We start from the raw sequence: 24,005 nt of genomic DNA, 5'->3' as shown, positions 1-24,005 counted from the left end.
GGACCTGGTGGGAGGTAATTGAATCATGGTGGTGGGTCTTTCCCATGCTGTTCTTGTGAGAGTGAATAAATCTCACAAGATGTGATGGTTTTATAAAGGGGAGTTCCCCTGCACATGCTCTTGGCTGCCACCATGTAATATGTCCCTTTGCTCTTCCTTCGTCTTCCACCATGATTGTGAGGCCTCCCCAGCCACGTGGAATTGTAAGTCCTTTAAAGCTCTTTCATTTATAAATGACCCAGTCTCAGGTATGTCTTCATGAGCAGCATGAGAATGAACTAATACAAGTAGGGTGGCCACAGAAGACTTCCCTGAAGAGGCAGGTGTTGAGCTCACCTATGAAGGATGGGTAGGAGTTAAATATTCCAGGTAAAGGCAAAACACACCTAAAGGTCTTACCTTAAGGGGAAAAAGGGTGAGGTGAATTTGAGCCTATGAATGAGGTGACAGGGTTAGCAGAAAATAGACAGGACAGAGGATGAGTTCTATTCTGAGTATAAACCACAAAAGCAATGGAGGAGGTAAATGCTTTTATAAAGTGTAAAATCCACATGTCTATAACTTACTATATTTTCCAGCATAAAAAGCTAGGAGTTGAAGTTTCACATGGAGGCCAGGTGAGGAGTGATTTCACCTCCATGGCCTTTGCAGTTTGCACTCAGGATAAAACAATTGCCTAAAAACTACACATGTTATGGCAGAAAGTGTGTGTGTCAGTGTGTCTGTGTAATCCGAATTCCCAAAGTGCATAACCCTTTCCTCGAATCTCATCATCTGAATGCATCAGCTCTTTGAGCCCCAGTTTCCTCCTTTGTAATCATGGGGCCATTTCTTCTTCTTTACTAATGTGGCTGTTTTCTCATAAGGTTGTTCTGAGAAAAACTCCAGTAAATGTTGATTCCCTATGCCTCTTCTTTTCTCTGTGGCTTAAGCTTCACTGTCTGGTGCTTCTGATGACAGTCTGCATTTGAGAGAAGGCATTAAACATTCACAGCTGGCTTTTCATCAAAATGTGTCCTGCCCACCACACAATCTTGGAGAACCCATTGGCATCTGACCACTCTAGAGATTGCCCCTTTCTTAAAGGAGCCCCCTGGCCTCCCCTACCCAGTACTAAAATCCATCCAATTCACACACCATTGCTGTGGAAGTTAGTCCTTCTTTTAATTCTGATCAAGTGAGCAAAAGGGGAAATAAGGAGGGATCCATCAGAACAGCTCATGAAAAATATGTACGTTCTTTAAAGGAAGACAGCATACAAATGGGATATATTTTTTTTTCCAAAAGGGAGGGGGAAATACACGCAGGCTTTTAAACAGAAGACTTTAAGCGGGGAGTGAGAGAGGAAAAATATGTCTCTTAAATGCATTCAGCGCCATTGCCACAAGGCTGCCGAGCCAGGATTGTTTATTAGAAGATAAGATAGTGAAAAATGTATTTTGCAGAAAGAAAATAGTAAAGTCAGGTCTGAGGCAGATAAGAAGCCAAATTTCTATTTTATGCTCAATTGAGTGACTCAGTTACATTATCTGGGAAGCAGGGGTGAAATAACACCCTTCGGAAATGAGGCCTGGGTTGCTCTGGGTCTCCTTCCAGCCTTGGCCAAGCTGAACTCTGCACAGCTGGGATGCTGCCTTCTCAGAGCAGAGTATTTGCCATCTAGGGATGAGGGGAAGAAAGGTTCTGATCTTTTCTCTTCAGCTCCTTTTTTTCTCCATCTTTTCATATGAGCACTCCAGTTCAGCTTCATGCTTCCCCTTCTGCTGCTGAAGGTGAGAAAATAAAAGCACACACATGCATACAAGATGAAGCTCTGCAAAGACCAACCGATGTTGAAGCCAGAAGCATCATTAGAGTTCAGCTGGTATAGGGGTCTGTGGTCAGTCCTTTATTTGGCAAGCACAAACATGTCATTTGAGTGTTTTTACACAGGGCATTGTTCTCTAGTTTGCCAAAGATCCTACTACACCTTTTAAAAATTTTACCTGGTGCTTTACACATTTTCATTGTGTGTCTGGTCCCTGGAGAAATGTAAGATGATTTCTCTAGACATCTTCCAGAATCCTCAGTGAAAAGATGGAGAAGCTTCCCTCCAGAGAGGTCAAGAGGCTCATTAAAAGTCACACAGCTGGTGAGTATTATCATTACAAACAGGCTGTACTTCTAATCATCTCTTATCCTTTCCTAATGGTTCAGCGTTTGGGCCCTTTTCCATTTTGGAGATCCTTCATTTATTATCCAGTTGGAGGTCAGAGCAATTTGAAAAATGGATATTGACTTTTTGGGCCAATAGTCAGTTCAAAAACTCACTTAGTTGTGCATTGGTAAGCCTGTGGTAGACAGAATAATGGCCCCTGAAGATGTCCATAGCTGAATCCCAGAAACCTGTAAGTAATTTTGCAAATGTGATTAAATTAAGGATCTTCAACTGGAATGATTATCCTGAATTATCTGGTGATATGGTTTGGCTGTGTCTCCACCAAATCTCATCTTGAATTGTAGCTCCCATAATCCCCACGTGTTGTGGGAGGGACCCTGTGGGAGGTAATTGAATCTTGGTGGGTGGGTCTTCCCCCAGTGTTCTCGTGGTAGTTAATGAGTCTCATGGGATCTGACGGTTTTATAAATGGGAGTTCTTCTGAACAAACCCTCTTGTCTGCCACTATGTAAGACATGACGTTGCTCTTCCTTCATCTTCCACCATGATGGTGAGGCCGACCCAGCCATGTGGAACTGTGAGTACATTAAACCTCTTTCCTTTATAAATTACCCTGTCTCGGGTATGTGTTTATTAGCAGCAGGGGAACAGACTAATACATCTGGGTGGGCTCAACCTAATCACATAGGTCCTTAAAGGTGAAGGAATTTTCAAGGTCAGAGAGGGAGAGATGTGGCAATGGTCAGAGAGATGTAACATTGCTGCTTTGAAGATGAAGGAAGGGAGCCATGAGCCAAGGAATGTGACCAGCAAAACTGCAGAAGCTGGAAAGGTCACAGAAACAGTTTCTCACTTACAGCCCCCAGAAAGGAACAGTGTCTTGCCAACACTTGATTTTAGCCCAGTGAGTTCCAGATTGAATTTCTGATCTGCAGAAATAATGACAAGATAATACATTTGTGTTTTAAACCATTAAGTTTGTGGCAACTTGTTACAACCACAATAGGAAATGAATACTACAGTCACCTAAGTCCTAACAATGTTTCATACCCCATTCATTCTCATATTCTTCCTTTGCTTCAAGGTTTCTATGAGGTCACTTGTAGCTAATTTTTAGGCCCATTTGGAACTTAACTTTGAGATAAAAGTCAGCTCCAATAAAGAGATTAACTATAAAAAAAACTTTGAATTTGGTAAGCCATTGTGTATTTGAATATAAGGAGTAATATCATCATCTAGTCCTATTCCCTCAGATATATATTTTTAAATAAAAAATGGATGCTCAGAGAAGAGAAGTACTTCCCCAAAGTAGCATAGGAAATTAATGTCAGGATAAATTTTGGTTTTCCATCTTCTATCCCACTGTCCTTAAGATTACTTTTTTTTATTGGTTAAAAGTACTATCTGTCCAGACACTGACCCACACATATTTTATGATCTTATTTACTACAAAAACATGATTGGCATTCAAAGGGAAAAGAAAGATTTTTGTTTGGTCAACTGAATATCCATATGGACAAAAATCAACTTTAACCCTTCTTTCATACCATACACAAAAGATAATTAAAAATATATTATAGACACAGATGAGAAAGGTAAAATAATAGAGGTTCTAGAAGAAAACATAGGAAAAAATCCTCATGACTTTGAGGGAAACAACTCTTAAATAGGACATTAAAAAAATCACCAGCCAGAAAAGAAAACTGATGGTGCTCAGTAATTAGGCCATTCTTTTTCTTTTGGGATTTTATGAAGTTCTCTAAAGAGAATTTTACCCTTTGAATGATAAATGAAATATTATTAAAATTAAGAACATTTGTTTATTGAAAGACACCAATAGTGAAAATCACAGATGGGGAAAAGACATTTGCAACATGTATATCTGAATGGGGTTCATATTAGTAATATGTAAAGAACTGTTAATGGAAAAAAGACAACTCAGTGAGAGTGGAAGACAGACAATGGAGACTGGGAAGGGTGAAGGGTGGAAAGGGATTCGGTGATGAGAATTACTTGAGTGCAATGCATGTTGTTTGGGTGATGGATATTCTAAAGCTTTGACTTAACCATTATTCCATCTATGGATGTAACAAAATTGCACTTGTGCTCCACAACTTTATATCAAAAAAAGCTAGCAAAGACTTGAACAGGCAAGAACTATAAAAGACTATAAAAGAGATATCACAATGGCCAATAATCATGTGAAAGCTGCTCAGCATATTAGCCACCAGAGGAATACAAATTAAACTGCAATGAGATGCTATCCCACACCCACCAGAAAGGCTAAAATTAAAAGGACTGATAATACTTAGGGTTGTCAGGGATCTGGAGCCACTGGAACTCTCACACATTGCTCCATGATACTTCCTCATCATATCCCTTTTAAGTTTTTTGACAGCAAAACTTGTGTTTTATTCATATTTCTCTCACCCCCTCACCTGCCCTGTGCCAATAATAAGTGCTCAAGTCTTTGGACTGCAAGTCCCACTCTAGATAAAAAGCCACCAGCACAAAAAAAGTAGTAGTGACCATGATGAGAAGAGATGGCCCAAGTAATCTTCCAAAATGGGAGTCTAATAGACTGTTTTTGCACCAAACTGCCTGCCTTTCCCTAGGCAAGTATGCAACTCTTCATGCTGAGTGTGATTCCATGGTCTCAGGAAGCAGCACAGCACCATGGACTCCTTTGGGCTCTGGAGTTAGATGAATGCTGGATAGTATCCCATATCAGCCATTTACCAGCTGTGTGACCTTGAAGCAAATGACTCAACCTCTCTGTGCCTTGATTTTCTCATTTACAAAACAGAAATAGTAATGGTATCTATCTTCTAGTATTGTAGTGAGGATAAGTGAGACGTTAGAAGCAAAGTATCTGCCCACTTTTAGGTGCTTAGTAATTAGACCATTCTTTTGGTTTTGGGGCTTCATGAAATCTTCTAAAGAGAATTTTACACTTTGCATGATGGTAATCCATTTTGTTGGGAGCAGTTGTGAATTCTTCTTTGCATATTCTGGAAATATCTTTTGTGTACCTTTAAAACTATCCCTCAATAAAAGCTCTGACCGGCATTGTCCAAAACCTCCACACCTTGTGGCCAGTGGATTTGGAGGTCCTCTTGGGAAAGGCAGGGCTTTGGGCATCCCCAATGCATCGATCACCTTTATGTCCTATCCTAGCTCTTGCTGCACTCAGGACTCATGAGACAGTGGTCAGGAAGGAAGCCACAGAAAAGCCTCCCATAATCCCCATCATCACACCTCCTATGGCAAAGGCAGAGAGGCCCTGGAACAGTTACAGGTGGCTCATGCTGAGCATATGCTGGAATTGTTTATGCCTTGTAGATAAAAAAGCTGGGAGTAAATATTTGCAGTCAGGGAGCCCCGGCATGCTGATACGCTGATGGAATGAGAAACTGTGCATGCATGAATGAGTGTGTGTGTGTGTGTGTGTGTGTGTGTGTGTGTGTGTGTCTATTTGAGAAGAGAGACGGAGAGAAGGGAGAGAGAGTTTTGCCTCCTTTCTCTGCCTGTAGATGGAGAGACGGTAGGTGAAGCAGAAAGAACCATTCCATGGACTACAGTCAGGTGCCCTCTGGACTGGTCCCTGCTCTGCCACTTGTCTGATTTACTATGTAGGAGGCAAGAAGCAGAGACTCCTTCAGGCTAACTAGGGGGAGAGCAGTTTATTATCTAGATGAATATGTTCCAGTGAAGGGGTTTTACACCCCTGACCAGGGGATTTTATAAAGGGCAGTTCCCCTGCACTTGCTCTCTTGCCTGCCAGCATGTAAGATATGCCTTTTCTCCTCCTCTGCATTCCACCATGATTGTGAGGCTTCCCCAGCCATGTGGAAGTATGTGTTCATTAAGCCTCTTTTTCTTTATAAATTACCCAGTCTCAAGTATGTCTTTATTAGCAGCATGAGAACAGACTAATACAATGACTCAAAATCCAAAGAAGTTCCAGGGCCTTTGGAAACAGATTTGATTGAACTTGCAGACTCTGGAGTCAGATGGCTTCACCTGGAAATAGGGCTCTTGGCAGTGGGAACTTGGACAAGATCCCTGGTTTCTCTAAAACCATAATTTCATCTTCTCCAAGATGAGAATAATTAATAATATCTCCTTCAGAATGGCATTGCGTAGGATGATGCACATAGAACACTTAGCATAGTGCCCAGTATATAGTAAGAATTTACACTGTTGTCATTGTCATTGTTTCTTCCTTTTTGGATGAAATTAAGGGGACCTAATTCTTGGGCATACTGGTTTTCCTCATCTTTGCTCTGTATCTCTTCTCAACAGCAGTGGTTTTCAAGTGTTCCCTGGACCAGCAGGATGAGCATCACCTGGGAAAAAGTCATGGGCGGAGGTCCTCTCCTTGGGAAAAGGCCAGGCTTTGGGTCCCTGCAATGCACCAATCACCTTTATGTCCTATTATAGCTATACAGAATTCCACGCAAATTCTCCAGCTGCACCCTCTGTCCTATGGGAGTAGAAACTCTGGGGATGGGCTCAGCAATGTGCACTTTAGCAAGCCTTCTAGGGGATTCTGCCGCATACTGAAGTTTAAGAATCACGGACCTACACTGAGGCTGTTCATTACCTCCAGGTCATCCCCTCATAGCTTCTGCTTCCTTGTGGTACATGATGGCCCTTCTGATCTGGCTTGTCTCCTTGCCCTCAGAATCTATCCTATACATAGCTTACTTTTTAAACATCCTGCAATGGCTTCCCATTGCCCTTAGAATAAAACCCACACTGTAGCCACAGCCCAAAGGCCCATTGTGATCTGGACTCTGCCTCCTCTCCAACTTCCTCTGTCCCCTCCGTCCTTCAGCCACTGCCCCCTCCCACACCTTTCCCCTTCCTGGCTATGTGTCTTTGTCACCCAGGCTCGAGTGCAGTGGCATGATCATGGTTCACTGCAGCGTCGACCTCCTGGGCTCACGCAATCCTCCCACCTCAGCCTCCCAAGTGGTTAGAACTACAGGCATTTACCACCATATCCAGCTAACTTATTTTTTATAGAGACGGAGGTCTTCCCATGTTGGCTGGACTGGTCTCGAACTCCTGGCCTCAAGTGATCCTCCCACCTCAGCCTCCCAACCTGCCGAGATTACAGGCATAAGCTGCTGTGCCCAGCCTTTATCTTAGTTCTTTGTAACATTTAGGCCTCAGCTTACCTGTTCTCTCTCAGGAAAGCCTTTCCCTGTCCTCCCTCAAGCTAAAGAAGCCCCACCCCTTCACACTATCAAATGCTTGTTTTATGGCTATGAAGGCTCTTATTTCTTCCCCATCATTTCTTGTTTATTTATTTGTTTATATGTTTACTGATTGTCTTCCCTATTAGACTATAAGGTCCTGGAGAACAAGGGCCTTGCTCACCCTGTTCCTCTTATATCCAAGATGGTTAGAAAAGTACCTGGCACAGGTGCTGAGCAAATATTTGTTCATTGAAATAATGACTAAGAATGAATAGATGGATGAATAAATTAAACACAGCAGAGTGTTCCAGGAGAATAATGCCTGAAAGCTGTCATTTAAGTCCTTCTAATCCAATGAATTCATACTTCTATAGTTTAACTCAGTGACTCACAACAGGGTGGTCCTGCTCTCCCCCTCTCTGGGGGAATTTGAACATGTGGAGATGCTCTGCAGGAAAAATGGCTGGAGACACTCGGGGCATCAGCATCTGGTGGGTGGGGTGGAACAGCCTACAATGTGCAGAATCGTCCTGTTGGACAACGTATCTTCCCTACACCCCTCTCCCAGCAAATGACAGCCACATTCCATGCAAGAAACAATGGTTGAGCCTAATCATTGTATATTACAGTAGTTGGAAGCTGGGGATGCCAGGTATTTCTAGGCTCCCAGCCCCTTGTGTTTCACCCCTGGCCTGTGCAATATTTATAGCTTCACTGAAGAAAATTCAAACTGGCTCAGAAATAGTTAATCCAGGCTGAGACAGCAGCTATTTTGCTCGTGAGTCTTTATTTTCAGTGACAAATAGGTAAAAGTGACACGAGTTCTCCTGGTCTGTGGAGGCTGCGGCATAAACGATGTCTCTGAAGCCCATTCCTGTGATTACTGAGCTGGATATGAGCGATAGGATATTTTGAGGAGATAAAAATGTCTGACCAGCTAATAACTACCAGACGCCGTCTCCAAAACAGGGGGCAGAGAAAGGGAAGGAGGGGAGAGAGAGGGACATAATTCACTCAGAGACAGAGGCCTGGTGAGGAATTCATGCCAGGCATATACATGTGCACACACACAGGCACATGCAACACAGACACTCAGATACCCAGCACAAACACTCACCCTACACACAGACATAGAACACAGTCCAGAAACACAGAACATACCCAGGTACTCCATATTTTAACCTACAGGGCACAGACTACACACATAAGTACACACAGGCACACAATATACACTTATGCAGAACACTTCCTTCCTGGATGCACCACACATCCCCATGCAACACCCAGCAACAACACTGAGACACACCCGTACTGCACAGGCATATGAAACACACCAAATACAATCAGCTCATGCAATAGATGGACACACATATATAACACACAACCCATGCACACAACTCACTCATATAAACAATACTCATTCTTATACCGTGTACACAAGGAACTGCAATACACAGATAGATACAGACATATGCAATATTACATGTGTAATATTCAGAGATGTGTGTATACAAATGCAGGTCCACCTAACCCAGATATAAATACAGGTAAAACATGCAAACACACATACACTCCACTAAAACACACACATCCTTAAAAGTACACATGTAAGGCACAGTACATACACACACACACCTCTAAGAGATACACACCCTTTAGAGACAAACACCATAGAGATACGTGTTCATCCTTTGCTAACAACCACTTTTTAAAATGGACTCTCAGACCCCTACTCCAACATGTGTGACAATTCCAGCAACAACAAATCAACACAATATACAAACTCTATAACTGTCAGGTTAAAAAAATCATCATGGAAAGAAAACTAACGTGTCATGTGACTCTTTGACCTTTGTGAATATTGTTTCATCCTTGCTACAGGCAGAAATTTCAGCCTTTAGCGTGGCTGAGATGGGGCTTGTTCTTGCTCTTTTCTGGCTGTGGGAGGAGGGAAAGAGAGAGGAGGAGAAGCCAAGGCTCTTAACAGGCTGCCAAGATGGTGGGGCTTCAGTAGTAGGACACCTGGGTTGTGGCTCTATAATCTGATATGAACCTACTATGTGACCTGGGAGGTGTTGTTCCCCATTTCCAAACCTCAGTCTCTTCATCTGTTAAATGGGTATGAACCTACCTCATAGGGATACGATAGATAAACTAGGATCTAATCCAAATGTGAATTGTAGACTTGACCTCCTCATATTCCTAAGAGGAGATGAACCCGCCAATGACACTCCAACAAATGCATCTGTTTTTAGTTTGAACCCCTCACTTGCCTTTTCTCCAGCCCCTGCAAAAAATTCTGCATGGCATGAGTAGCTAGTACAACCGGGCTTGTCCTCAAAGAGAGGCCGTAGATTATTTCATTATCTTCATTGAGTCTATTAAGTATCTGGTCCTGTGCCAAGTGATTTACCTGTATCATCTAATTTAATCCTCACAACAACCCTTTACAGTGCATTCTGATTTTATTCCCATTTTACAGATGAGGAAATTGAGGTGTAGTTTGGTCAAGAGACTTACTTGCTCAATACCTCCCAAGCTGGTAAGTTTTGGAGCCACAATTTAAACCTACTCTGCAGTGGTGTAGAGTGCTATCCCTCTCCCTCTTCCCCACCAAAGCTGCTCATAGGTTCTAATGAGTTAGTAGGTGATGTCAGCTTGAAGTCAGAACCCAGGGTGATTCTAAGAAAAGCCCTCTTATTCTGGTACATTCTCCACTGTGACTCAGGAGCTGGACATTGTAGTTTTTTAGGCCTTATCCAGACCTAAAAAACTTCTCACTTAACACACGGTTTCTATTCAAGTTTGTAGCATACTTTCAACCTTCTTAAGCCCTACCTTCTCCATCTATAACACTTATCTGTCTCTATGATCATGAATTGGTCAATAGATCCCATCAAAAGCATACCAGGTGGCAAGTCATTCTCTAATTATGTCCTTTTTTGCCACTCTCCACTATCTATGATTGGTAACTTTGGATTGATCAATATGCAGTGTTTCTGTAAATAATATCAGAGGTTTGTGTGGGTATTAGAACTCCTTTGTAGGCATTTAATATTGGGTTTTTATACTTTACACAACAGCATGGCTGTGATTGAAAAACAAGAGTTTAGAGTCAGGCTTTTTGGGTTCAGATCCTGGTCCTGGTACTCTAGGTAACCTTGAACATATTACTTCACTTTTGTGTATCCCAGCTTATTTTTACATAAAATGGGGCTTATTCACAGTACAGAGACTTTTTGAGGTTGTTGTATGCTCTAAATGAGTTACTATTTGTAAAGTGTTTAAAATAGGATCTGGCACATAAGTGTTAGCTATTATCATCATCAATATGGGCCTGCAGCTTTTTATGCTATTTCAATTTGACTATGCTCTTTGTTTTACATTTAACTTCTTCAAGTTTGGGTCACTCCGCTTGCCTTCCTTTAGTCATCTTGATTTCCTTGATTACCATTCCTGATATCTAATGTTTTGAAAATAACAGGACATCCCAGACTTACCTTGGCTTTCTCTATGTCAGGATTCAGTGCAAGCTGTTTTCTATGGAACTGTCTTGACTTCTTTTAGTTGAGGGCAATGAGGTAAATTTAGACATCAGAGGTGCACATTTACCTACCTCTGGTGATAGGCAGGTGACACAAGAGGTGGCATGGTTAATTTTAATGACAAGGTGCACAGGAACCTTTCAGAGACCTGAACAAATTCTGCTGTTTCCCAGTTAATTGTGCTTCCTGAAGTCCCTTTTCACCTTGCTCCAATCAAAGAGCTTCAATTTCTATTCTCCTTGCTTTTTCTGAGTTACCAATTTCTCTTCTCTTTCATTTACAAAATCCTCCCAACCAACTTTGATAGATCATGCTGTATTTTGTCGCAACAAAACTTGTTTCAATTACTGTGTAATCCAAAGATTTAGAAACCTAGATATCTGCTTTGATAACATTAGATCTTATCCAGGTGTACCTTTGGTGGAAAATTCGCTGTACTCTCAGTCATCCATTGTACTAGCCTGATCTTTGAGGAAAAGTAATGTGGTTTGGCAAGAGTATGTGGGCACCACTGTCATGGGAACAACTTCAGATCATGTGTGTTTGTGTACATGTATGCATGTGTATGTGTGTGTGTGTGTGTGTGTATATATATATATATATGTATATGTATATACACTGTAGGTTAAAAAAGTCCAATACTGGCAACCCAGTAGGGTTCAGACTCAGGTTTTGCCTCAAAAAAAAGAGATAAAACAACGTCTGCCCACCCCAGGATGGTATGCAAGAGTTAAGAAATGTGGGATTTCCAGGATCATAAATAGATTGCTTACTATCAAATTTAATTATTATCTTTCGCATTTTCTTGATACTGGCTCCACAGCTCATGTCTTTGTCACAGACCCTTTTAGGCTGAACTTCATAGAAACTTCTTAGAAACCGTTGTACACAGGCAGATGCCCATTGTCTGAAGTTTCAACCGCCCTAAGACCACTTTGAATATTAAGAATATTAAGACATCTAAACAAATTGATGTAAGGATTATTAAAAAATAGACATCAGACTGGGTGCAGTGGCTCACACCCATAATCCCAGCACTTTGGAAGGCCGAGGTGGGCAGATCACTTGAGGTGAGGGGATCAAGACCAGCCCGGCCAACATGGTGAAACCCTGTGTCTACTAAAAATACAAAAAGTAGCCAGAGCATGGTCGTGGGTGCCTGTAATCCCAGCTACTCTGGAGGCTGAGGCAGAAGAATCTCTTGAACCCGGGAGGTGGAAGTTGCAGTGAGCAAAGATCATGCCACCGCACTCCAGCCTGGGTGACAGAGTGAGACTCCATCTCAAAAAAAAAAGGAAAAGAAAAAAATAGACATCATACTTGATGCTGGAGAAATCGCTATCTTTCTCTGAGTCTCAGTTTCCCTCTGAGTCTGTTTCCTTATCTGTGAAATGGGGACAACATTTATTTCAGTGGGTCATTGTGAGAATTAAGTGAGAGGAGCTGGATCAGGATTTATATGTCCAGGCTCATGTTTCTGAAGCTGGATTTGGAGCCAGACTGAGCAGGGCTTTGGAGGAAAGTATAGGAAGTTTGGAATTATATTCTATAGATGATGGGGAATGATATTCACTCATCCATGAATTATTTCATTCAACTTCTATTCATTGGAAAGATAATGATGAATAAAGTAAATTACATTCATGTACTTTTGGAGCTTAGAATTTTTAATGTGCAACAGATGTAATTATATAATCACACAAATATATAAATTGGTAGCATTTAAGATAAGGAGGGGCTGATGTAGATGGGGGAGAAATTCAGAAAGGTTTTCTTGAAGAAGCAACAGTAGTGCTGAGACATGAAAGTGGGTCGGTGAACGGGTAGGGGCTCATTCTACGCAGAGCAAACATGATCTATATAGAAGTCTTCATGGGGTGAAAGGGAGGGTGGCCCATTAATAAAAAGGGCGAGGATGGTTGGAGCCTGTGATGAAGGGAAAAAGTTGTATGCAATAAGGTTGGAGAGGTAAAGGCTGGAGAGATGGGCAGGGGGGTGGCTAGATCAGGTAGCACTTTGCAAGACATTGTAGAATGTCTTTGGATTTTTCATAAAGAGCAGTGGGACACATTTGATGGGTTTAAAGCAGGGAAATGGCAAGCTTATATTTGCTTTATACTAGGATCTCTTTTGCGGCTGAGAATGGATTGGCTCAGAGCAAATAGGGAAGATGGAGATCATGGGAGGAAATTGCAGTAGTCCAGGGGAAAGACAAATGGTTCCACCAATGGCCATAATGGTAGAGCTAGAAAGAAAAGGATGGCTTCAGCATATATTTAGGAGATAAAATTGGCAGTTTTGAAATAGTGAGGTGACGATGAAGGAGGAGAAGGTATCGAGGATGACTCCTAAGCTTTCTTCTTGCCAGAAGGATAGTGGCAGTGTTTACTGACACTTTAAAGATAGAGGATTAGAGAATGCTGTTTACCAGTCTTGTTGAGACAGACTTTTCTTATTCTGTGGCTGTCCTGTGGGAATTTATTGTGTCTCTATACCTATATTTATTCTCCCTTCTAGTGTCCTCTGTGGTTCTGGGCTCACAAGAGGGCACCTGGCAAGGGTACAGAATTGTAGAGTGAGGGATACCTCAAGCACCAACTATTCCACCACCTCATTTTATGAAGAGACAAAGAGATCTGTGACTGGTGACCCCAGAGTGAGGGAGCCACAGAGCTGGCTTACAACTCTTAGGCCTGGGTCCTCTTCATTGCTTCTGCTGCTATGTACCCTTTGATAGATGAAGAGAATGTAATGAAGAGCTGTCCATTGCAACCCTCTTGTTCAAAACCCCTCAATACTTACCGTAATCCAATTAAAGACTTTATTCTTTAAGCAAGCCCTCACTTCTGGCATTCAAATTGCTTGTAAGGATTAACTGAGTTAATACAGACAAAACATTTAGAAAGTTCCTGGGACAGACTAAACACTATGTAAGTCTTTGCTTCTGGTATGTTGTCACCCTATATGGCCCCATAACAGAGATCCCCAGTATCCATTCTCCTCTCCTCTCTTCTTTCAATAACACAACAACCTTTTCTGCCAAGTTTGGTTGGGCACATGGCGGCCTGAGCAGTCACTATGTTTCCCAGCTTCCCTTGCAGCTAGGTGTGGTCATGTGACTAGGTTCAGGCCAATGGAGGGAACATGGAGGAAAGGTGAGTGCCATTCTCATTTCTAGAAGATTCCAGGCCATTTCCTAAAAGGCAAACCTGTCTGTTCCTGACTCTGTGTCCTTATTTCCCTCTGGCTTAGATATGGCAACAACTGGGACAGCTGCCTTGGACCAAGGATGGAAGCCCCATGTTGAGGACAGTAGAGCTGATCTAGAAGCCTGAGTCACTAGGTGACCATTTATAGCAGAGCTGCTGCTGCCCCTACCCGCTGAAATCCTAGGACACTCACCAAAGGTTACTCCTGTGAGGGTGGAACAGACTGCTCTCTTATGTAAGCCCCTGCATTTTGGAAGTCTCTTTGTAACAGTAACTTAACCTGAACACAACTGACACAAGCCTACCTACCTTTCCTACCTCTCTGCTATGACTGCCTTTCACTTACTCTGTGCCCTGGCCGTACTACTATTACACTACTGTTATTGCTGTTTCTTATAGCATTGGCTTTTCTTCCTCCAGGCCTTTGCTCACGCTGTTTCCACAACTGAAATGTCTCTTCAGTACACATATTAAATGTCTCAATAGTGTTGCCTAGAGAAAAGCACACAGACTTTGTGATTAGAGAGGACTGAATTTGAATCCTGGCTCTGGAACTTTCCAGAGTGCGATGCCTTTCAACTCCCTGAATGTCAGTTTCCTCATCTGCAATATGGGCCTACTGATTATTATCTCATGGAGAAGATTATGATGATTGATACGAAGTGTAAGTACAATGTCTGGTTCTCAAAGCTGGAGACTACTATTACTATTGTCACCTAGCAGCCAAGTGCCAACTTGGATGGCATTCACTCCAGGGAATTTGGAAGTTTTCCAAATTTCCTTCATGATATGAATCCTGGGGTGCTTGTTAAACATGCAGCTTTCCCAGCTCCTTCCCTAGCCCCTTTCTTAGAGATTGAATGTGTGTTATTGTTGATGAATTTGTATTAACAAGGCTCTCAAGTGATTCTCATCATCAGTGAAGCTGGGGAAACTGACCCTGTTTTCCCTAGCTGGAAGCAGCTGCCTCTTTCTCCTTTGATGTAGCTGAGCACTTTTTGTATTCTTCTGTTTCATCCATTTCTACTTTGCATTATTATTTTTGTAATGTACATGTCTTTATCTCCACTAATAATAGTGACTACTTACGGAGTGCTCATTAGGTGCCAGACACTATGTAAAGTACTTTACATACATTATCTTACCTAATCCCCTAACCTCCCTTTCCTCAGCTGCTAACTGAGAAAATAATAACAGCTACTTTTATATTGTGCCTTTAAAATGTGCCTGGCATGAAGCAAGGCACCTTTCGTGCATTAGCTCATTGTTCCTCACAGAAGCCTTCCAGGATGGGAATTAGGATCCCTATTTCACTGGAGAAGTAGCTAGGTTTAGAGAGGCAAAGTGACTTTTCCAAGGACACACAGCCTGAAGGTGGAAGAGAAAGAGTGACAGAGCTAATCAAAGGCAGATGGTAAAAGCTGGATAAATCTCCTGACTTCTGCAGGGAGAACATAACTTCTCTTGCAAGCTAATGCCACTAACAGTAACTCCATAGACCATCTCCACCCAGCTTGTCAGTCCTGTATGAGCAAAGAGAATAATTGATCAGTGGCAACCTTCTCTTTAAAAACATTCCACATCCTAAAAGATACTCATCATTTACATATAAACTGGCACTTTGGAGTTTCTGAGCACTTCGTGCCCATTATCCTATTGAGCCACCCAGAAGTCTAGTAAGATAGATTAGGAGCGAAAGACTCAGAGAAGTTTGGTACCTTACACGTCTCATGCAGTCTGGGGCCCTGACTCAAAATTCATTGCTCCATTCACTAGACCAAGCTGCTACTCTAATCAAATCACCCTTCAGATTTCTATTTGCTTGACTGAAAACCCCCCATTTTTCATATGAACATTTTCCCCTGCTTTCAATCATCTCTGATGTGGGGTAGAAATGCAGCTGTATTAAAGAATGATTCCATCAAATTGCAGAGCAGAAGCATAGCAAGAGATGAAGTGTTTCTGGTTGAGAGCTCCCCATTCTTCCAAGTTAGTGCCAAATACAAGGGGCTTCTTGTACCGTAGTCAAGGAGAATATCCCCAAGAACAGATCTCCTAGGTGACCAGCCTCCAGACTGTCCTGGTAATTGGAGTCACCAGGTAGAGCCATTGGCTTCTCAGGAAGCAGCTCACATTTAAGTCAAACAGATGGCCGGTACGTTTGGAAATAGATCTTTCCAGGATTTTCCCTGCAACCAGATTCTAAGAGCCAAGACAGCTGAGTCATTATCTCATCAACTTGGCCTGTATTGACTGCCAATTGGGGTAACTCAGGATTAGGATTCAAGTCATGTCAGGTAGACCAATGGGCCAAGAAATGTCTGGAAGATAAATACAGGGCATCAAAGATGATGAGGTTAGCTAAGTGAGGACACTTCAGAGGTGGGATGGTGAGAGAGTAAGGCAGTGAGTTTCTCTTCTGGTACAGACACAGTTCAGCTTTTGTTCTGTTTTACTTGCTTGGTGGGTGGGTGGAAAAGGCAGGTGGGCCCCATAATCAGTTCGTGAAGCACTTTAGAGGTTCAAGGAACTATCATGTAATGTTTCTCACTTTAGTTTTCATTTATCTATCACAGGTAATAGGTAAATATTTCCTGCCCCTAAAAGTGGCCCAGCTTTCTCCCTGACCCACTTCCTTTAATGTGTATGTTCTGCCATGAGGTCCTAGCACTCCTGAGCTTCTCTAATACCTGATCAGGATCAGTTCTCAGCAACAGATTTTGTCGTTAAACATAGAGTTAAAAAGCCCTTACAAATAACGGTGTGGTCTTAGCATTTTGCTGGTAGGTAGAGCGTCCATGTCTCAGGGTTCCCAGGACAAAGTTTATATCTGTGGTCCTGGTGTCTCCTTAATTCATAGTACCTCTTTTCACTCTCACTAGTGTCCCAGTTTGGATCATAAATTATGGATCCCTGGATTGATCAGTAAACGTGGGTACAGAAAGAGTTAAGTGTTCTGTTCAAGGCACAAAGTGGGTTGGTGACAGCTGGGATGGAAACCATTGCTCTTCGTCCTAGGCCAAGGCTCCTTGCTCCCCGGGTACCCTTTGTTAGGTTTTCACTTATTTACACTTTGCCTCATTGCAGAGAGGATTTGAGGCCTGCCACTGCCCCACAAAGTTTAATACGTTGTCATTACCATTTACCACCTTTGAATCATAGAAATTTAGAGCTTCCCCTCATACAACCAACTTGGAAATGTGGTATGCTTGTATATCAGGAACATACATTAATTCCAACCTCTGTGGGGATTTAAAAGTTTTTCCGGAAAAGCCATTCTTTATTCTAGAGTTTTTCAATGACTTTAGTCGGAAGCAATAATGCTCTTAGCAGGATTATAGCTACTGGAAGGCATTTCAGAGGCATCTGGAGCACCAATTAAGAGCACAGGATAGGGAAACAGAATTTTCCCAGCTTAAGTCCCAGCTTTATCATCTATTAGATGTGTTACCTGGAGCAAGTTTTATCACCAATCTGAGCCTTGACTTTGTTATCTGCAAAATGGGATGTCTAGTAGCAGGTAACGTTTTTTAGATACATAGTAGGTACCTGGTTATAGCAGTTGAATATTTTATATACATCACTTATTTTCACCCTTATAGCAACCCAAGGAAATAGGCACCATTAGGATCTCCAGCTTAAAGACAAGGAAACTGAGACCCAGAGTGATTAAATAACTTGCTCAATATCACACAGCAAGGGAGTGGCAGAGCTGGGATAGAAATCCAGGCAGAGCCATTGATACTGACTATAACCTGTAGGATTACTCTAGCAATCAATGGAAATGACACCAGCAATAGGCACGACTAGAGCTTTTGAGCGCTGACTATGCATAGGCACCAGGCTAATCACTTTATATGCATTAACCTATTTGATTCTCAGGCTAAATCAATGAGGTAAATACCTCTTAGTGTATGATAGGTACTCAATAGGTAGAAATTCCTTTGATCTTGTCCTGTGTTTTCAGTTTCTAGAGGCAGAAACTGAGGCCTAGAGAAGGCAAATGATCTAACTTCCCCAAACCCTATAGCAAGGAATGAAAGCTGGGATAGGAATCCAGGTTATAGCTCCATCTAGGGAGATATTACTCTATCAGGACCAGCTGAGAGCTGACCTTTGCAGAGATGAGTGGCAGAAGGGTCCTGGGAGGTGGCATGGCCACTCCTTTTAGCCTTCATTGGTTCCTATGACCCCACCCACCGTCATCTCACCATTATCCCCATGCGCTCTTCCTTATGGTCACTCTTGCCGCTTAGTGTTCCTAGGCAGACCACACATTTCCGTGTCTCCAGCTTATGTTCCTGCTATGTTTTCAGCCTGGAATACTATTGTTGGCTTTGTTCATATGGGAAATCCTTGTTCTTTCTTCTAGAATCAGCTTATCTGCAAAACCTTTTCTAACACTCTGCTGCTCTTGCTCTCCCACCCCAGGCAGAATGAACACCCTCTTTGTATAACTCTGTTGTACCAATATCATAGAACAGCAAAGAGGTTAGGCTGGGTTTGGGTGTGGCTCCGTCCCCTTGGGCAAGTCACTTAACTTCTCTATGCCTCAGTGTTCTCATCCATACAAAGGGGGCACTTTAATTTACAATTTTAATTTTACCTTCCTTCTATAGTTGTTATGAGGATGAAGGGAAATACTTGGTGTAAACTGCCTGGAACATAGTGAATGCACAGTAAGCAGGAGAGGCTGTTTTTATTTTCCGTGTTCATCTCTTCTGCCAGGCAGTGAACACTTTCAAGGTAGGGAATGTGTCTTTTCCCCTTTGTCCTCAATGTTTAGTATTATGCCAACCTAGTACATGGTAGCTGTCTATAAGGATTAAATGTAAATTTGGTTTCCACCCAGAAGTGTATACCTTTCAACTGCTGGTGGAGAGGGGAGAAAAGTCCTGGGCTGGTGTAGAAAGTCTTTCCCAGGGGTAATCAAATAGATAATAGTCATTCATTCATGTATTTATTCACACATTCAACACATATTCGTTAAGTGGCTAGTATTTGCCTGGCACTGGGAATATAGTGGCGGTAAACAAGACAGATAAGGTCCTACTCCTCAAGTTCATGGTCTGTTGAATGAAAATGGACACAATGGGCATGTATCAGTTGGCCAAACCATCCCCAGAATTTAATGATATAAATGACATCTATTTATTTAGTTCACAATTTTGTGGGTTGGTCGAGAACTTGTCTAGGAGCTCTGCTGGGCTCACTTATGCATCCCTGCTCAGCTGGCCAGTTGGCTGGCAGCTGAATGTCCCAGGATGGCATCACGCATGTCTGATAATTTGCAGGGTGTTGGCTGGGGAGTCAGGCTGATTGGGTCATGTGTCTTTCATCCTCCGGCAGGCTAGCCTGAGTTTCTTCAGACAGTGATCCCACTGCCCCAAAAGCAGCAAGAAAAAGCACGTTCCAATGTGCAAACACTGTCCAAGTATCTGTTAGCATCATGTTTACTATTGTCCTATTGGCCAAAGAAAACCTCATGGCCATGCTCAGAATCAGTGTGACAGGGGACTGCTCATGAGTACAGATACAGGGAGGGGAAGGATTTGGGCCTGTTTTTGCAATCCTATTGATGACATCATCAAGGATATTTCCCAGAACCTGTCACTTCTCTCTGTTTTGCTCACTACCTCCTGTGGAGCCCAACCTGCCGTATTATTTTGTCTGGCTCCCTATTTCTTCCCCTGCTTTGACCCAGCCTGTTCTCAACTCAGTGGTCAGAGCAGCCTTTGCAAATCATAAACCTTGCATATCATTCCTCTGCTTGAAACCCCTCAATGGCCCCCTCTTGTTCTAAGGATAAAGACCAATGGACCTATAGTGGCTGTAAGCCCCTGCATGATCTCCCAGTCTGCATCATTGGGCTTATTCCCTCACCCTATGCCCCATCCCACCTTCCTCCTTGCTCTCTGGGGTCTAGAAATACTGGTGTCCTTCCAGCTCTTGAAACACTGGTGCCCTTTCTGGCCCCAGAGATTTTGTTCATGCTGCCCCTTCTTCCTGGAAGGCTTTTCTTCCATCCTCACCTGTTTGACCCCTATTCATCATCCTTCAGGTTTCAGAGCTAATGTCACCTCGTTGGGGAGTATCTTCTGACTTCCACATAGGTCAGGCCTTAGTAACATGCTTTTCTATATCATGTACTCTCCCTCTGAAGCAGGTGCCCCCGCTATAATTATGCATGTGCATGGTTATTTGGTCATGTCTGTCTCCTTTGCTAGACTTTAAATCCCAGAAGAGAGAGAGAGTCTGTTTTGCTTGCCATGGTATCCACAGAATCTAGTACAGAGTCTGGTACACAGTAGGCACTCACTTGTTAGCCTTTTAATGAAGACGGCTTAGGCACCTCCCACGTTGCTGCTCTCACCTCCCTCTCACCTCTCCTCTGTGCTTCTGTGGAATTTGTCAGCAAAAGAGCCGAGAATTTGTCTTGAATTTTAAACAACATTTGATTCCAAAATGGGGAGATTTAGCAGACAAAGCTCTTTCCTTTATCTTTTTTTTTTTCTTTTTTTAAACTAAGGCTGAGATACTGCTCACCCTCTGGGGACATTTCCACCCCCCTCTCTCCCCACAAAATGAGCGCTGTGAACTGCTCTCTCGGAAATCTTGTGAAAAGGGCAGGGTATTGGAATTTGAGACAAAGGGAAGAAAAATGAGCTGGCTTGAAAAGTCTGCCGGCATCATAATGAGCAAGATTATTCTGGGAAATGCAGGAGTCTGCTGTAAAAGGCCCTAGTAAGAGGCAGTTTATAACTAGCTTTGGGTCAGACACACAGCCCACTCGCACACACAGACACGGCCGTGCAGCCAGCCTCCCCGCACACACAGACACGGCCATGCAGCCAGCCTCCCCGCACCAGCCATGGTCAGAAGACTTACTCCAAGTTGGGAAATTCAGTGTCAGCATGGCTGGGCAGCTCTTCTGATGGGAGAAGGGGCAAGAGAGCCAGGTCTTGAGGTGAGGTTACCTGGCATCACCTGGTGCCACCAAATTCATATATGGGTTTCTAGTTTTCTTGCTGCTCAAATACTTCCAATCTCTAGGCCTACCTTATGTGAGTCAGAGGAAAGTAGCTCAGTGGGGCCAGAATCCACTGAATTCAGCCCAGGAACCTGCATTTCAGTTTCAACTCTGCTGCCAGCATGCTGTGTGTTCTTGAACATGTCACTCTCCTTGCTTCAGTTTCTTCACTTTTAATAATATTTAGTATTTTAATATTGCTATTTATTGAACATCTGCACATGTGCATACTAGGCACAGGTACCTTAATTATGTTTCATCCTCACAACAATTTTAAATGGTAGGCATTATTTTCAGTTATAAATACCAAAAGTGAGGCTCAGAGAGGCTGTCCAAGATCTCATAGCAAGCGAGAGTGCCAAGATCTTAAACCCAGGGCTGCAGGTCTTCAAAGCTAGAGCTCATGGATCAGTGTAGAGGCTTTGGGTCCCCAAATGACTCATCCTCATTGCTCACCTTCTTATCCAAATTCCAGCAGAGCACTGGGGACATTCAGACACATACCTGGATTATTATTATTTTTAAATTTATTATTATTATTTTTTTATAGAGATGGAATCTTGCTCTGTTGCCCGGGCTGGAGTGCAGTGGCGCAATCTTGGCTCACTGCAACCTCCGCCTCCTGGGTTCAAGCAGTTCTCCTGCCTCAGCCTTCTGAGTAGCCAGGATTACAGGCGCACACTGCCATGCCTGGCTAATTTATTTTGTATTTTAGTAGAGACGGGGTTTCACTGTGTTGGCTCAGGCTGGTCTTGAACTCCTGAGCTCAGGCAATACACCCACCTCAGCCTCCCAAAGTGCTAGGATTACAGGCGTGAGTCACCGCGCCTGGCCTGGATTATTTTAATGGTCTGGAATTTATACTATCTGATTGGCCCAACAGTTGATACTAGTGTTGTCCATGTTTTACAGATAAGAAAACAGAGGCTCAAATAAGTTAACTGACTTCCCTCAAGGTTTCAAGGCCTCAAGGACAGCCAGGATACAAACCTGTGTCTGTCTTATCCTAGAGATTATTTTGTTTAATCCATACTTTAAAATAAGGGGGTTGAGCCAGAGAACTAAGGGCCTCTGGGTGACACTGTATGACAAGTAGGTGAGCATAGTGTACTTAAGAGTCCGGACAGGCCAGGTGCAGTGGCTCATGCCTGTAATCCCAATACTTTGGGAAGCCGATGTGGGCAGATCACTTGAGCCCAGGAGTTTGAGACCAGCCTGGGCAACATGGCGAAAACCCATCTCTACAAAAAATACAAAAATTAACCAGTCATGTTGGTGTGGGCCTGTGGTCCCAGCTACTCAAGGGGCTGAGTTGGGAGGATTGTCTGAGCCCACAAGGTCGAGGTTGCAGCCCAGGAGGTTGAGTCATGTTCACGTCGCTGCACTCTAGCCTGGGTGAAAGAAAGAGATCCTGTTTCAGGAAAAAAAAAAAAAAAAAAATCTGGACAGGGCTGGACTCCTCAAAAGATGCAACCTTGTCTGGACTCTAGCCAGGGTGAAGCAAATGAGGCATTCATTTCAGGAACAAAATTTAAGGGGGCACCAAAACAAAAAAACCTCAGTAATTAAGATAATTAAGATAAATAATATCTAATTTAACATAAAAAACCCTTGAAATTGATGTGAAAAATATCCAGATTGTTGAAGACAGAATTAGACCCTGTACTTGACAACTTATTTCTCTTGTCTCCCCTTAGCCCCGGTCCTGCACAAGAGATGGTCTTGTGCTCCAAGGTCTGGCTGCTGATCATGAACTCCTGTGGCCTCTAGTGGGGAGGGAGGGTCCCTGTGTCTGTGACCAGAGGAGAGACAGCCCTGGTTGCAGGAGACTGGACTTCTGAGTTGACCTTGCATAGGCCACCATTGGAGAGTGATGGATATGAATGGGAAGACATGAGCTTGGAATGGCACTCAATCTACACGTTTCTTCCTTGGGAATAATGGGTAGATGAATGAAAATGTCTAGCCTCTCTGGACCACAAGGTAAATACTCTGTGCCCTCAGAGAGTACAGTAGTCCTAGTGGTCTTAACTTTTAGGGTTTTGTTTTACCTGAGAGTCATAAAGATGTTGAACTTGTTGCCCAGTAAAAACAAAAAAAGTCCCTACATGAACACATAAAAAATTTGCACACAAGTTCAAGAAACTCAAGGATATCCTGAACCCCATAAATTGAATTCTAGTAAGCCTCAGTTAAGAGTTTTGGTGAAGTGAGAAGTGCATTGTGTTTGGACAGAGAAAAACAAAATTCACCAACAACAATCTGAGTAGGTCACTTTACTCCCAGAACCTGTTTCCTCAGCTGGTAAATAGGGGTGGAAGCAATACATCTGCCTGCTCAAGATATTGTGAGGTTCAAACAAGTTAATGAAAGTCAAAATGCAATGTAAACTGTGAAATGCTTTCCTCTCAAGGGGATGTTTAGTTTAACCATCATTATTTCTGTGGATCTTTAGAAAGCTGGTTGGACTTTATTTCATTCTTTTTCATGGCTGTGTAGTATTCCCTGGGGTGTGTGTGTGTGTGTGTGTGTGTGTATATATATATATATATATATATATATATATATATATATATATATATACCACATTTTCTTTTTCTTTTTTTTTTTTTGAGATGGAGTTTTGCTCTTGTAATCCAGGCTGGAGTGCAGTGGCATGATCTCAGCTCACTGCAACCTCTGCCTCCCGGGTTCAAGTGATTCTCCTGCCTCAGCCTCCCAAATAACTGGGATTACAGATGTGTGCCACCACACCCGGGTAATTTTTGTATTTTTAATAGAGACTGTGTTTTGCCGTGTTGGCCAGGCTGGTCTCGAACTCCTGACCTCAGGTGATCTGCCTGCCTCAGCCTCCCA

Source organism: Homo sapiens, chromosome 9 (assembly GCF_000001405.40).
Source record: "Homo sapiens chromosome 9, GRCh38.p14 Primary Assembly".
Classification (NCBI taxonomy): domain Eukaryota; kingdom Metazoa; phylum Chordata; class Mammalia; order Primates; family Hominidae; genus Homo; species Homo sapiens.
Note: the sequence above shows the minus strand (reverse complement) of the source record.